This window comes from Homo sapiens, chromosome 1 (assembly GCF_000001405.40).
Source record: "Homo sapiens chromosome 1, GRCh38.p14 Primary Assembly".
In the NCBI taxonomy this organism is placed as follows: Eukaryota; Metazoa; Chordata; class Mammalia; order Primates; family Hominidae; genus Homo; species Homo sapiens.
Window position 1 is genome coordinate 843,631 of NC_000001.11, and position 16,061 is coordinate 859,691.

Consider the following 16,061-nt stretch of genomic DNA (forward strand, 5'->3'; position numbering starts at 1 on the left):
AATAGGAATAGGAAGATAACACACTGGTAAGAAAAATGTCCAAGGCCAATCACAGGAGTCAAAGCTCGTGATCAAATCAGCTCTGCCTGGGGAGGCCGTGCTCATGGCACCATTTAGTGACAAGTGGGTGACTCTGGGGCAAGTTCCAGGGGTGTCACCCCCAAGGCAGCAGCTCAGGTGCAGCCACCATGGAGGCAGTTTCACTGAGGGGCCCTCTGAGGCCCCTACTCTGAGATTCTAAGACAGGGTTTGAAGAATGTTCCAGCATTTGAACACATGAACCCTATGATGTCCTGCTGTGAGAGAGAACAATGTCCCAATTTTGCCCAGGTGATTTGAACATCTCGGTATGGATCTGTTATGGGTTGAATTTTCTCCTGCCCAAATTCTTATGTTGAAGTCCTTACCCCTGATGGGACTAGATTTGTAGACAGGGCCTTTAAGGAGGTGATTAGCGTAGTGAGGTCACCAGGTGGGCCCTGATGCAATCTGGCATCCTCCTAAGAGGACATGAGGACACAGACACATACAGAGGGACGATCGTGTGAGGACACAGAGGATGGCATCTGCACGCCAAGGAGAGAGGCCTCAGGAGGAACCAGCCCTGCCCACACCTTGATCTGGGACTTCCAGCCTCCAGGGTTGTGAGAGAGAAATGTCTGTTGTTTAAGCCATGCAGTCTATGGTGCTTTGTTATGGCAGCTCCAGCAAGCTAACCTGGGATCTAAAATGATACTTAAACTGGTTCAGTCTGATTCTTAAACTGGTTCAGTGGAGCTAGGCCAGGCTCCCTCTGAGCAGATGTTGGTCCCTTTGCAGGCCTGCTGTGTGTGATGATTGCTAACCAGGTTATGACAGTGATCTTTAAGTAAGTGGGAATCTTGTGAGTTTTGAGGTTTTGTTTTTTTTTTTAATGAAATCTACATGGGATGTTTCAAAAATAGCAGCCTCTGTATACATTTGTCAAGCAGGAAGCTGGGTCTGCGGGGAGTAGGGTGGGGCTGGTTCTCCCACACGCTTGCCACTTTCAGGCCCTTGCCTTGCATGGGCTGCGGTGGTTCTGCCAGTGTGGATTCGAACCGATAGGTTTCGCTGTACCTTGATCAGCATCCTGCTGCCGAGAAAGCCAAAAAGGGCTGGAGCAACCCTCCCGTGTGCCATGTGAGCCTGTTTCCTTTCTACAGTCACCAGTTCACGCAGCAAGTGTCAGAGCATTCCTGTAAGGCCCGGCTCTCCACAGGGGCCAGGGGAGCTTTCTCTGGCAGGGTCTTCTTCACTGTGTGTAGGATACGGCAGCCTTTGAGGCTGGGGAACCGAAGTTTTCCTTTTATTCTATTTTAATTAATTTAAATTACAATAAGTATTATCACTAAGTTTATGCAAACACGTGAGGGAATGCTGATTTAGAGCTGGTGGCGTAAGGTCACAGAGCTCCCACGAATCTCACATGGAAGCCTTGTTTCTCCAGGTTTTTTGTAGTTTGTACTGAATCACACACCATGCTGCTTCCATGTTTTTTCAGGGATTTCCAACACAGATTTTCCTGAGTACCCTGGATTAATCTCCTTTTGGATAGGTCCATGGGGGCCCTGCTGCTTTTTCCCCTTAGCCCTGGGCGAGGTCATCATAGAGGGGGAGTGGCAATGGCTCACAAGGTACTAGTGGAACCCCAGTAAGTTATCTCAGAGCCCGCTTAGAACACAAGTGCTACGTCCCCCAAAAGCTTTGCAATGAGTATCTGATGGGAACAAACTCAGTCAAGGACAGGCCCAGGTTGGGGCTTGCAGGCTGCAGATTCAGAATTGTTTATGAGATGGGAGCCATACTTTCTAACAACAAGACCTGAATTTCTCAATTTAATCCAAGTCGTGACTTAAGTTAGCGCCCTTCCGTTCCTCTATTACATTTCTGTTCGGCATGGATCAAATTGCCTACAAGGTGGAACAGATTTCAACTGCAATCTCTGAACCAGAAAATTCACTTATTCTCATGAAAGTTTGTAATCTTTGGAGAGTTGCTTAAACACTTAAAACCATCTTTCCTCTTTCTATACTCCAAACTTACCTGCTGCAATTTCTTGCTAAGAAGCAAAGTGCTATTTGCCTATTCCTATCTCTCTTTACCATCAGACACTCCTTAAGTTAAGAGCTAGATAATTCGCTCAGCCTCAGGCCAGGCCGAGCCTCACTCTAGAAGTCACATTCCTGAGGTGTAGGGGGTCAAAATGCCTCTCATTGTTCAGAAGCAGGTGAGGGGCCAGCCAGGGCACATCCTGCTCTCCAGGCTTGGTTCAGATAACTGTCAGCCCAGTTTTCAAGAGCACACACCAAAAATGCACCAAAGCTTACATCCATACAAACACCCGCACATGGATGTTTATGGAAGCTTATTTGTTTTTATTCATAATCACCCAAACTCAGAATCAACCAAGATGTCCTTCAGTAGATGAATGGATAAACTGTGGTGTGTCCAGGCAGTGGAATATTATTCAACGCAAAAAGAAATGAGCTATCAAGGCATGAAAAAATATGGGGGAACTTTAAATGCATAAATGAGTGAAAGAAGCCAGTCTGAAAAGGCTACACCCCGTGTGCTTCCAACTACAGGACATCCTGGAAAAAGCAGAATTACCAACACAGTGAAAGATAAGGCCTGGTGGTGTGGGGAAGGATGAACAGGTGGAGCACAGGGATCTTTAAGGCAGACAATCTACTCTGTGTGATACTGCAATGATGAGTTCATGCCACTATATATTTTCCCAAACCTATAGAATGTACAGCACCAGTGGTGAGCCCTGATGTGAGCTGTGGACTCTGGGTGACAATAGTGTGTCAATGGAGGTTCATGGACTGTAACAAATGCATCACTCTGGTGGGGGATGTTGATAATGGGGGAGGCTATGCATGTGGGGAGGTGGGTACATGGGAAATCTCTGTACTTTCTGCTCAGCTTTGCTCTGAATCTAAAACTGCTCTAAAAATCGTTTATTTAAAAATACACCAAAGCAATGAGGCCGGGCATGCATACAGCCAAAGCCAAATGATATTTGTGTGAGTCAGGTAAATTTGAGATCTGAAAAATGATCACTCCAGGGAGGCTGAGCTGTCATGGGGCACTTATTGAGAACCTACTTTATGCCCATCTGGTGCTTAGAATTACGAATTAGCTATTATTATTACTAAACAATTCAAAACAAAGTCACTTATCTCAGGGCGCTTTCAATCTTGTTGCCATCGAAGCTAACAAAAGTGGAAACAGAACAAAGCTACATACGGCACATTTCCCAGAACATGCCAGGTGGAGCCTGGCCCTGTTGATTGTGTGTGGCTGTCACTTGCAGGAGGGTTCCATGGACAAGTGAGTTTGGGAAATGCTGGGTTGGGCAAATATCAACAGGCTTCCTTACTGCAAGATTTCTCATAGTCAAAACATACTTTAAATCTCCAAGAGGATGATACAGAGAGCCATGTTTCCCATAATTAGTTGGCCCCAGAAACAGTTTCTTCTGGGAACATTTTGTAAGATTAGTGCTCCTTGAAACACACTGAGGGAGAGGCTAAACTGAGTGGTAGAGATTCATAGACTATTTGGATTCTGGCCCCAGAGTATAAAAGGCCAGGGGGAAAGGACTGTGTTCCTGAGATGGTGAGGTGGAGAAGGGGACGTGTTTCTCCACCACCCACAGAGAGGGCTGAGAAGCCCTGGCACACGGGCTGAATCTGGGAGGTCAGAAGGTGAGGTGAGAGGACAGGAAGACAGCCCACGAGACTTCCAAAGGAAATGGTGAGTCTTACCATGGCTCTCTGGGCTGATGGCAGGGCCCGGCACAAGGTAGGAACTGAGTGTGAGTGCGGGATGCACCCAGGTCTGAAATGCTCAGGAAGGACCCTAGGACATGAGCAACCTGGGCTGGTCACTCATGGAACCTGAATGGCTGGAAAGAAGGAAGGGTGATCCTGCTAAGACAGGGCGTTGTGAAGATTTCCTTTCCCTCCGAACTAACATCTCACTCACTTCTCTCAGTTTCCATCATTATCTTCTATGGAGTTCTTCATTCCCACATCTGTGGACCTTAAAATCCTACCGTTGAGTGCCTGCCTTGGATCAGCAGTCAGTTCGTTACCTTGGTTCTCAGACGATGCTTGCAACAACGCCATGCGATTCGCCCACTCTTGGGTAGGTGGAGACATTGGGGCTCAGGTGTGGGTAAGTGATTGTGTGACTCCTTGTTAAGCGGCAGAACCGGGACTCAAATTCACACAGATCTGATTCCAAACCCTGTGGCCCTAAGCATAGTGTTATTAGACAATAAGCCCTCTGCAGGGAGATTTCCAGTGCTGATGGCAGGGTCTGTCATGAAGGAGGACTCTGCTGAATTTTTCTTTGAACCCCAGGAAGTGCCTGGCACAGTTCTCTGAAGAAATTAGAATGCAGCCAGTGGTTACTAAAGAAATGAATAAGTCAAGTAAATGGACAGAGCTGTGTGCTAAGAGTTCTTTTGGGACACAGAAATGGGTCAGAATTGGAAATGTCCAGAAAATACTCTTGGATAATTATGAAAGCTACATATAGGAGCTCAGGTTTAACTCCATATGAAATGAAGAGTCACAAAAGAAAAGGAGGAGGAGCGTGTTCAGGCGGAACCTCAAGCTTGAGAGTGCTATGAAATATGTTTGAGACTCAGAAAACAGTTCCTGAAAGAAATGACACATTAATGAATGAAGGTATAGTTATTTGGAGAAAATGAACCTAGATATAAGAGTAACCATATCAAAATGTGTTTCTTTAACTGCGGTCTTCAGAACCTATGAGGTTCATTGGTATATTCTTGGGAACTATGTGTGTTTGAGAAACATATTTCTGGCGCCAAACTGACAGTCACCTCAAATCCATCACAGCACTTATGATGAATTCTTTTCAAGTTAAATGCTGTAAAGAAAATACTTCTCTTTTTTACTGTTAATTCACAATTTAAAAGTGTTTTCTTACTGAACTACATGTTGGTCCCTCAGATAAGGATTTCTCGAGTCTCAGGTCTTTGGGGTCTTTGAGGAGTGTGACTTCTCAAATTGGATGACACTGATCTAACTGGCTGTAGTATCCATTCAAGCATGAGGGAGGTCAGAGCCTGGGAAAGCTCAGGTCCAAACAGCTCTTGAAAGAGGACGTTGCAGGGCAGGCTGCTTTGCACAAAGGGACCTGTAGACACTGAGAACATCAGTATACCAGGAACCAGCCCACCCTTTCACTCTGCCAGACATGAGGCTGTGGGTTACCCATCTTTCCCTGTCTCCTGAACTCATAGCAAAAACAAAAAACTTCACTTGTTTGTTAACACATATAGTTCAAGACGGAAGGGCCTACACTGAAGCAGAAAGGATTGAGGTTTATCAGCATCTTCGCTTTGAGGCCTCATAATGTACTTCCCATGGACTAAAGTTGTTCACTTTCTTTAGAGGATATTAGCTAAAGATGTGGTAAAACCACATTTTTGCAGAAAAGTGAATATTCAAAAACAAATGTATATGGTGATTATTTAATAGTTTTCACTCCACTTCGCAACTCAACTTTTGGTTGATGCAAGAGGGATGCGAAGGGAGAATTGTGCTTCTAATTCCAGCATTGTGGTGGAATAAAAGAGCACAGCATTGCAGCTGTTGAATATAGGCAGTTTTTTCTTTTTATAGGCAGTTTTAAGAAGAATGCATTGATTCTACAACGTGCTATTGTGAAGCCATCCGGGACTGTTCACTCACTCATTTAAGAAAGGTGTATTTTCCACTTGAGGTGTGAGAGAAAGTGTGGTGTTCACTCATTGCTCTTCCTTCTGGCTTTTATTTTTCTCACTTTTAGAGAAAATAAGAGAAGTATCCCTGAAGGATGAAATATCCTCGAATATGAAAAGGTCTGCTCTCTGAAGACCAACTGTCTCAGTCTGCTTTTTGCTGCTGTAACAGAATACCACAGACTTGGTAATTTATAAACAGTAGAAGTCCATGTGGCTTATGCTTCTGGAGGCTGGGAAGTCCCAGGTTAAGGGGCTGCATCCGGCAAGGGCTTCTCGCTGCCTTATCACATGGCAGAAGGCACCTTGTGGTGAGACAGTGAGGAAGGGCTGATTTCACTCTCACAACAAACCCACTCCCATGATAATGGCATTAATCCATTCAGCAGGGCAGAGCCTTCGTGACCCCATCACCTCTTAAGGCTCCCGCTCAGCATGGTTGCACTGGGGTTAAATTTCTAACACCTGAACTTTGGGGACATGTTCAAACCATAGCCAGGGCCCTGAGAAACCCATTTCCACTGACTTCAAAATAGTTCATGAAAATGGAGTGCTGAGAGAGCAGCAGGGCATTCACAAGAATGGTTTTGAGAGGCCTCACTGTGCCAGGCATGGCCCTCAGGGCAGGCAGCTCTGCACAGCCCCCCATGGCAGCAGCTGGTCAGGCTGCCCAAACTCACCACTTTGGAATCACTTCAGCACCACCTGTCTTCACTTGAAATCAATTGTCTGCAGATTTTAAACTCGTTTCTATGTGCCCAGTAGGCAGAGAAGCCTTCAGAGAAGGATCCTGACTCGGTGGTTTGTGCAGTGACATTTGGCAGTGTTTTCTCGGCAAGCGAGTCTTTGAGGCTGCCCTCATGCTGCTCAGTGGGCACACCAAGAACAAGAGCTGGCCAGGGATGACGGACGCATCTAGGCCTTCTCGGCCTAAGGGCAAGTCCCATTCTTCCTTGATAGGTCTTTAGATGTACCAGTCAGCAAATGTCATCCCCCTCTGCATTCACGTCAAGCTGTGCAGGGAATGCTAAACAGAGGCAGATCTAAACTTAGGAGTTAGGCTTCTTCTCCATGGAGATGTGGATCTGCACAGACAAAGTGTCCAAGTGGGATTTTCCTGCTATTTCAAGGACTGCTGCTGCACCCTGCTGGCTCTTCCTGCACTCCCTGCCTCCAGGAATGACTGTGTCTCTTTGAGTTAGTGAAGTCATCAACTTTTTTTTTTAAATCTCTTATTATTATTATTATACTTTAAGTTTTAGGGTACATGTGCACATTGTGCAGGTTAGTTACATATGTATACATGTGCCATGCTGGTGCGCTGCACCCACTAACTCGTCATGTAGCATTAGGTATATCTCCCAGTGCTATCCCTCCCCCCTCCCCCCACCCCACAACAGTCCCCAGAGTGTGATGTTCCCCTTCCTGTGTCCATGTGTTCTCATTGTTCAGTTCCCACCTATGAGTGAGAACATGCGGTGTTTGGTTTTTTGTTCTTGCAATAGTTTACTGAGAATGATGATTTCCAATTTCATCCATGTCCCTACAAAGGACATGAACTCATCATTTTTTATGGCTGCATAGTATTCCATGGTGTATATGTGCCACATTTTCTTAATCCAGTCTATCGTTGTTGGACATTCGGGTTGGTTCCAAGTCTTTGCTATTGTGAATAATGCCGCAATAAACATACGTGTGCATGTGTCTTTATAGCAGCATGATTTATAGTCCTTTGGGTATATACCCAGTAATGGGATGGCTGGGTCAAATGGTATTTCTAGTTCTAGATCCCTCATCAACCTTTTTAAAAAGCATTTAGGAGCTGCTGGTTGTAAATGATCACTGAGAAATAGTATTTCCCTCACTTGTAGCCATCTGCTTCTCTTTTTGGTTCTGGAACATTCTAGAACCTTGGAAGGTGGCTGGGGCTGAGTCTCAGCCAGCAGGGTTGCCCAGTGCCCCTTGTCACCCCCCGAGCAACACAAGCCAGGCTGCGGTTACTCTGGGTCTGTGCGTCTGGGATCATAGTTTTTAAATCTGCCCCAGGGTCCTCCAGTCCCAGCTGTGGAAAGTCACCCTCAGAGGGTGAGGCGGGCGGCGCGCCTCTGTGTGAGTGGCCCCATCCTTCACAGCGAGTTTGTGTCTACTGAATCGCAGACTCTGGGAGGCTGAAGGGTTACAGGAGGTCGTGTGTCTCACGTCGCCACTTCACGGTTGAGGACCCCGTGACCCGCTTTGCTCAGTGGCTGCGCAAGATGAGTAATGACCTGAAACAGGGAAAATGTCTTGGATACATCTTGCGTAATGAGGAGAAAAATGCAGCCATGTTGCAGCCTGATAAAATACTCTGCCAGTGTCCTGCCATAAAATGACAGGCGAATTTTCAGTAGCAGATTCTCTAATAGTTCTGTGGTCTTCTAGGTGCTAAACTGTTTAAGTATCTACATTTTCTAAGCCCGCCTAATGCAAATATTCTCAAAAAACATAAACCCTTCATTCTTTCTCAAATAGGTTACATTAGTTATACACTCTGGAGGTGACTTGACCTGTCATTGTGAACAATTATTGCTCTTGGACGACCCAGGACATAGGCCAGCCAGTACGTACCCCAGTGTGTTGGAGAATCGCGCTCGGCTTCTTCCTCTGTGCTGAGTCATGAAAGTTGCCGGAGCAGGTGCAGTTACACAACCTCCAGGTAACATCACATGATCGTTCAAAAAATAATCATCCAAGTCCAGGATGCAGCATCTGTCTCAGTTTTTGGCATAGGATGACAGTCTGAAATACACTTACTGAATTTGAATAAGAACGGGCTCAGGTCAGTGATTATCGCTAGTGCCTTATCAACGCCCTGTGGCTTTTCAGCATTAGTCCCCATATCCTCGTCCGGTGTGGCACTGAGAGCAGCTAACTGTTGCCCTCGTTGGTTCCCAGTTGGCTTCCGTGACTGGTCAGGGTCAGGTCCACTGCCAACAGGCTGGTGTTGAATCCCTTGGAGAAACACAGACATTCTGACCCTAAATTATGCTTTCAATGCCATGTGTTTTCCTATCACAAAAATCCTCGTTCTCAAGTTTCTTCTTTCTTTATTTTTATTTCATTTCATTTTTTAGCATTCCTCCACAATTCATTGCCCAAATCTACTTTTTACTCAATTTACTTGCTTTGGTCATTTTTCAATATAGCACTTTAATTTCTTAGACAAATATTTTCAACATTCTCCTGTTTTCTCAAGGATGTCTGTTTTCTCCCCAGGTATGATCCTGTTTAAGGACTGGATTTAGGATAACTACTTAGAGGTTAAAAGTCACAAGGGTGTATGGATGAGGCTGGAGTGATCTGGGACCAAAGGTATGGGTGATAAAGCAGAGTATCTAAGCAGCTCCTGGGATTGGTGTCTTTAAAAAAGTAATAATGCATTTGCTTATTTTAGAGACAGGGTCTCACTATGTTGCCCAGGCTAGACTTGAACTCCTGGGCTCAAGGGATCCTCCCACCTCAGCCTCCTAAGTAGCTGAAACTGCAGGCATGAGCCACCACACTCAACTCACTATCTTTTTTTTTGGAGACGGAGTCTCGCTTTGTCCCCCAGGCTGGAGTGCAGTGCTGTGATCTCAGCTCACTGCAATCTCCACCTCCCGGGTTCTAGCTATTCTCCTGCCTCAGCCACCTGAGTAGGTGGGATTACAGGCGTGCGCCACCATGCCCGTCTAATTTTTGTATTTTCAGTAGAGACGCGGTTTCGCCATCTTGGCCAGGCTGGTCTTGGAACTCCTGACCTCAAGTGATCTGCCCGCCTCGGCCTCCCAAAGTGCTGGGATTACAGGCATGAGCCACTGTGCCCTGCCTAGCTCACTATCTTTCAATCAGTAGAGATTCTTTAGTTATTTTTTAACTCCATGGATCCCAAGCTTTGATTTTTGTTTTCCAAACAAATTGCATTTATAAATAATAATTTTTATTTATAATCAACAGACATCTAGGCTTGCTGTCAAGGCTTCTGATCAACATGAGATGACCGCCGTGTGGTAAACTGATGAACCCTGACCCTGATCAACATGAGATGACCGCCGTGTGGTAAACTGATGAACCCCGACCCTGATGAACGTGAGATGACCGCCGTGTGGTAAACTGATGAACCCCGACCCTGATGAACGTGAGATGACCGCCGTGTGGTAAACTGATGAACCCCGACCCTGATGAACGTGAGATGACCGCCGTGTGGTAAACTGATGAACCCCGACCCTGATGAACGTGAGATGACCGCCGTGTGGTAAACTGATGAACCCCGACCCTGATCAACGTGAGATGACCGCCGTGTGGTAAACTGATGAACCCCGACCCTGATGAACATGAGATGACCGCCGTGTGGTAAACTGATGAACCCCGACCCTGATCAACATGAGATGACCGCCGTGTGGTAAACTGATGAACCCCGACCCTGATCAACATGAGATGACTGCCGTGTGGTAAACTGATGAACCCTGACCCATTAGGCTTTGGCTACAGAATGTGGAAATAAGTTGTGTTACTACATGTGTGTAATCCTAGGGTGCAGGACACCGGCCGGGAGGTTCCATAGAGTGATGGGTTCTGCAGGTAACTCATCCTCTAGTCCTCTGTAAGCTCCTAGAAGGAAGAAATTATGTCCTTTAGACTAATAAAATTCCTCCAAACCAAATACAGCACCTACTGTGAAGACACAAAGATACTTTTAGAATAGTAAAAACTTTATCCATTGAGAAATTCCTTAATGAAACAGTATCCAAGAAGTCATTTGCCAGCAGATTTCTTAGAGGTGCGATAAAGAAGAGGACATTGCCAGTCGTCACAGCAGCTGCAATAGCTCCTCTCTATTGTTAAACAGTGGGATATCTTGTGCAGGTTTTCAGTTGACAATCAATTTTAAAGATTAGTTTCGGTCCCCATCAATCAATTATTTATTAACCCATCAATAAAAATTTAAATGCTCTGTGAGGTACAATAGCTATTAAAAGAGACAGAGGCACTTTCTGTGTCCAGAGGGGCTTTTAGTCTGCTCTGGAAAGCAAGATGCGTGCAGATGAGTGACGCAGTGCATCGTGTGGATGCAAAGGGAGGGACTCACATGGGAACCAGAGGAGCTACGAAGGGAGGCAGTGGGGACTGGTGGGTCGAGACCTGGAAATAACACATGAATAGGCAACAAAGGTTTCCTTTCCTCTTCCATGCACTTCAGTCCTTGAAAAACGTCTTACCACGGAATTCCACAGCGTACCAAGCGATTCCACAGCTTGATGGCACACTCTCCTTTCTCAGCATTCTTGAAAATGGCGTGTGAGCCAAGCCATCTTACTGAGAAATTACCTTAAACCATTTGATGAACCAAAAATATTTTGTAATACCCATCTCCGACATTAGGTAGGCAAATCACACAGAAACACCGAGGTCTTCTGAGTCATATTTATCTGAAAAATCACAGCTTGGGTGCATGTGAAGCCAGAGGAGCACTCCTGGGGCCTGCGGTGCCATCACTCAGCTCCCCTGGGCTTCACATGGCCATGGAGCACCCAGCAAGTGTAGGCTCTGAGCCTTCAGGGAGGGGCGGCATCAGCCAGCACCATCGTCTCCTGGGTCTTGTGCCTCTTCCTTGGTTGCGGTGTTGTCAGGGCCAGAATTGGGCAATTCCGGGTGACATCCAGGTGTGGCTGCTGACACGGAGCACAGGTGAGGTTCACTGAGGTAAGTGGGCCATGGCCTTGGGCTTCTAGTTCAGAGCACACCATCCACTCAGCATGTGAACCCAGCTCCAAAGCGTATGTGTGCATGTGTGTACCTGTGCACATTGCGCATGTCTCTGTGTATGCATGTGCTTTGATGCATGTTGATGTACGGGTGTATCTGTGTATTGTGTATGCACACACGAGCATATGTGTACATGAATTTGTATTGCACATGTGTTTAATGCGAACACGTGTCATGTGTATGTGTTCACATGCATGTGTGTCTGTGTACTGTGTGCAACAGTGTGTGCAAGTGTGTATATGTGGGTTTATGTTTGTACAGTGTGTGTAGTGTGTGTACACATATACACCTGTGTGCATGTGTACATGGTATTTAAGCATGTTTGCACGTGTGTTTGTGCTTGCATGTGCTGCGTGTTTGTGTTGGTGGGATGTGGGGAGGCTGCTGTGGAGACAAAAGCTGGAGAGAACTTGGTAGAGTAACCCAGGTCAGGAAATGGCACCTGCAAAGGAAGGCTGGAGTGCCTGGGATTCACGTTGAAATGGCCAATCCGTCAGCTGGGCTGGACACAGCCATCACGCTGGGCAGCTGTGAGGTTAAAACAGAAAGTCTGGGCTGTGGGGAGGCTGAGAATTGAGATGCATGTATGAGATGAGTCACGAGGGCCAAGTGGTGTGTGTGAGAAAGCAGGCACAGCACCACTAAACACTAAGGAGATTTCAGGGGAGTTACGGGTGGAGGGAGGACATCAGATCTACCCTGGAAGTTAAACGTGTTTCGAGTGCATTAAATACTATGGGCCACAGACGCCTTGTCTCCATATCTACTCTTTTATAAATGAAGTAAAGTTCTTGGGAAATACTTTTCTCACTCTAAAGCTCACAATCTATCTTGCAAAAAATATTTTAAATTCCATCTCAAATAAGCCAGGGTGAAAAGGGAGCCTGTGCACCAGACACTGCCAGCCTTGCCTGGCTCTCGCCTTCTTGCTCTTCCTTCCCCACCTGCTGGGGATTTTCTTAACGATGGAGATGGGTTTGGGTTTGTCCTGCTGTGCTCTGCTCCCCATTCCCGGATCCAAGGTCCTGCCTCTGTCCTGTCCCCTGAGCCACCTCAGGGATGCAGGGTCCCCCACCTGGTCAAGTGCCCAGTGCTGTGTTGTCATTTGCAAGTTCTTCCTGTGACTGAACTCCAAATGGCACTGGGACTGCTGACTCCACCCACTGGACAACCCGTGTTCTTGCTTTTGGGGTTTCTGAAACAGCCCCAAGACTCTGGGCATCTTGATTTTGCTCCCATTGCTTCTCAGGACACCCTGCTCCTGTGGTTTGCAGCCCCGGCCTTCTCTTCGAGGACGCCTCTGCTCTTCTGCCTCACACTCGGATTGGACCTTCTTCAGCACAGCCAGTGGCCGAGGCTTCCTCCCTGGGGCTCAGTGGAGCAGGACAGATGCTGCATCCAAACTCTTCCATTGGGTTCCAGTCTGTTCCAGTCATGCCCTTGAGCCTCTAAAGCTCCTAGGTGAGAGACGTAGCAGCTGACAGCACTTCCCACTTGATTTGGGTGGACTCCAGCCTCCCCAGCAACAATAAGAGATCAAAAGCATCGTTGAGGAAGCAGCTTGCTGAAACGCTGAGTGCCCGCCACTCTCAGGTCAGGTGGGACCGGCAGGCCAGCATGAGTTCCTGAACACTTGGTTCTCAATACTGGCCACAGCCACACTGTAAGGGGAAACAAGAGGGCACTGTATGCAAACATCTCTTGAACTCTGGAGTCTGCTCACCTTCCTGCCTCAAGCCCCTCTCCCACGTGGTCCAGTCACCATTCTCCACAGAGACTACCCTAAAACCCAGCGACTCTCGTGTGCCTGCAGAATGGCACAGCCCGTTCTCATAGCAGCACTCCTGTTTAATCAGAGGGATGTTAACGACCAAGTCATATTTGCTCGATTTGTGTTCAACATATTTCATTTGTACCGATAAAACTTAAAAATATCCCCACACATGCATTGCCTATTAAAGAGTATCTTCCAGGTACACCTCCCTTACACATCAGTTAACTTGATAATTTCTTCCCATTCTTGTGCAATAAATTTCCTTCCTGATCAGCTCTGTCCAGCAGCAACAATAATCCACGTAGAGACATGCAAACTAAAAGTCCGTTAGTGGAGGCACGAAGCTGATGAGGCTTGGAAAAAAATGACCGATTTGATTAAAATTAGGACCCATGGGAGTGGAGCTCTGCCTATTTTAGAGGCAAAGTAAATGCCTGGGAGTCCAATCACCGACATTCTGTTTGAGGTTTCTAATCACAAGGAAGATGGAGAAAATGCAGAACAAGTGGTCAAGAACAGGGAGATAATAAATAGAATATTTATGGGCTGAGGAAAACAATTACCAGGGGAAAGCCCAAGAAGCAAAGATGAACAGAGAACGTGCTGACTGCGCTCGTTTGGAAAGGCCTCATGGCCAAAGGAGGAGAGGCATTATGAGGAGCAGTGACCGAGTGGGCAGGACCCCCGGGGATCAGGAAAGGTGCACGGGGGGAAATGAGAGGCCTGAGCGGCTTCCCAGCGAAGGTTTTTGAAGCACGGTTTGATTTTCTCTCTCCCCCTCACCATCCCCAAATTTTAGTTGTGACTATCTCCAGGTACATGGCTTGCGACAGGCGGTGTATAAAAACTAATGTCAGTTTAATTTTAAAACCTTAGCCATTTTCTGGAACTTAAATATCAAAGAGAAAATGTCCACATATGATGTTAATTGAGGTTTGTCTCACTGGTGATTTGTGCTGATTCAATTCCTGTTTCTTTTTTTTTTTCTTAAGGGGTCAGTTTTAGAATTGGGAGATAGGTGTATAACATATGACTATACAGCGCAGGTTGGTTTTTTAACATAGAAATATCTGCCTTTAAATGAGAACTGAAAACGGAGCTTCTTGGAGGCCACCTGCTGGTGGCAGTGATCTGACCGCTGTTTAAGCTTTCTTTGAACTCCTTTTTTTAAAACAGCCTCCATAATCAATGGTGTACGATCTACTCTCGTGGTAAAACTTACTCAGTGAAGAGTGTGTTTTATTTTCTGAGGAGCTGAACTGTTCCAACCTGAGTATTCTGAATAAGGACAGTGGTCGAGCATGAGTGATGCCATCTGGGCTTAGAAATAAGTGGGCCTAAAATCTGATTGTTTTCATACATTGTTCAGATATTGACGCAAATAGCAATTTATTTTGTAAAAAATGATTGGTATCCGGAACTTGCAACAGCTGTGTGTGGCTTGAAGGGAGATGAAGTGGTGAAGGCCTGGTTTCCACCGAAGCTCTCACAGCCCAGCCTTTCACTGTGTGGCCGGGGGAAGGGTGCTCCGGGTGGGGGACGGGAATGGTGGGACTGGGGATGCCACGGGACAAGGCTGCTGGCCTGGAAGGTAGTCACGTGGAGAACCGCAGGAGATGAGATTGGAAAGTAGTAATAAGCCATGTGGATAAGAACAGAGGAGCGGGTTTTAAGGGGGACGTCCTGAAATGCTGCTCATGTCGTTTCAGTTCCATAGACCACAGGAAATGCAGGTGAGAGGGCAGCCCGGTGGGAAGGAAGGAAGAGGGTGGTGGTGAGCCAGGTGAGTGTGGAGCCGCCCAGGGCACCGTGCTGTGCGATAGCTCAGGCATCGGGTGCTTCTGCCAAACCCTTCAGCAGCTGGTTTGGGGCCAAACGTCCTTCCTGTGTGAGAGAAGGCAGAGCCTAGGCAGCATTCCAAACCCCATCCAGATGGGAGGCTGAGTGCAGAGCAAACGGAGCCCAGCACTCCAGAGCCGTGTCCCTTCACTGCCATGATCACATCACAAACAGCGAGGCTTGGAGAGGACTTAAGAGCTCCTTCAATGCCATCTTCCATCCACTGCGTGAGCCAGAATAGAAAAAAAGGAATAAGAAGAGGTCGGTTAAGCTCTCTATTAAGTTGAGAAAATGGGAACTTCAGGTGATCATGTGAGATATTCAAGTTAAAAAAATTATTTAAAAAGCACATTCTTATTATTAAAATTTTAGAAAGTACAGAGAAGGAAATTTTAATAACCTACACCTAGAACACTAAGATACTGGTAACGTAGAAAAATGTGTAGTTAATGCCTTGATGGATTCTTTTCTATTTTTTTCTCTAGCAATATTTATGTCTATCCACAGAAAGCGTACACTCATGTATTTGCATGGCTAATATATTTTATGTAAAGTTCTATATATTTCTCAACATTTCACTTAATATTTCTTTATAAACATTTTTCCAGTGAATAAAAATTTTTCCAAACAGTAATTTTAATGACTATATAACATTTCATTGCATTTATATATCATTTGTTATTTAACTACTTCATCATTTTGGATTCACATATTTTCAATAATTTCCATTATAATAATAATGTCATGAATACCTTTGTACAAGAATATTTATATTTCTAATTATTTCCTTAGTCTAGTATCCTAAAAACTAAAATTCCTACATCGAAAGGTCAATGTGTATCACGGCTCTTGATTGACATATTGATTTCCATGAAGCTT

General features: G+C 46.0%; 1 long non-coding RNA gene across 5 annotated transcripts in view; it reads left to right on the forward strand.

The window, feature by feature from the left end:
- The window catches only part of LINC01128 (long intergenic non-protein coding RNA 1128), a 31,856-nt gene extending 16,040 nt beyond the window's left edge, over positions 1-15,816 (forward strand). For 2 of the 5 annotated variants that reach the window (NR_047521.1, NR_047525.1), the window contains exons 3-5: positions 8,297-8,480; positions 9,041-9,136; positions 9,761-15,816. This is a non-coding gene — a long non-coding RNA (long intergenic non-protein coding RNA 1128). Of the gene's footprint in view, positions 1-4,023; positions 4,177-8,296; positions 8,481-9,040; positions 9,137-9,760 lie in introns of all 5 variants that reach the window. The other 3 variants (NR_047519.1, NR_047523.1, NR_047524.1) reach the window with 3 other exon arrangements.
- Positions 15,817-16,061: the final 245 nt, after the last annotated feature.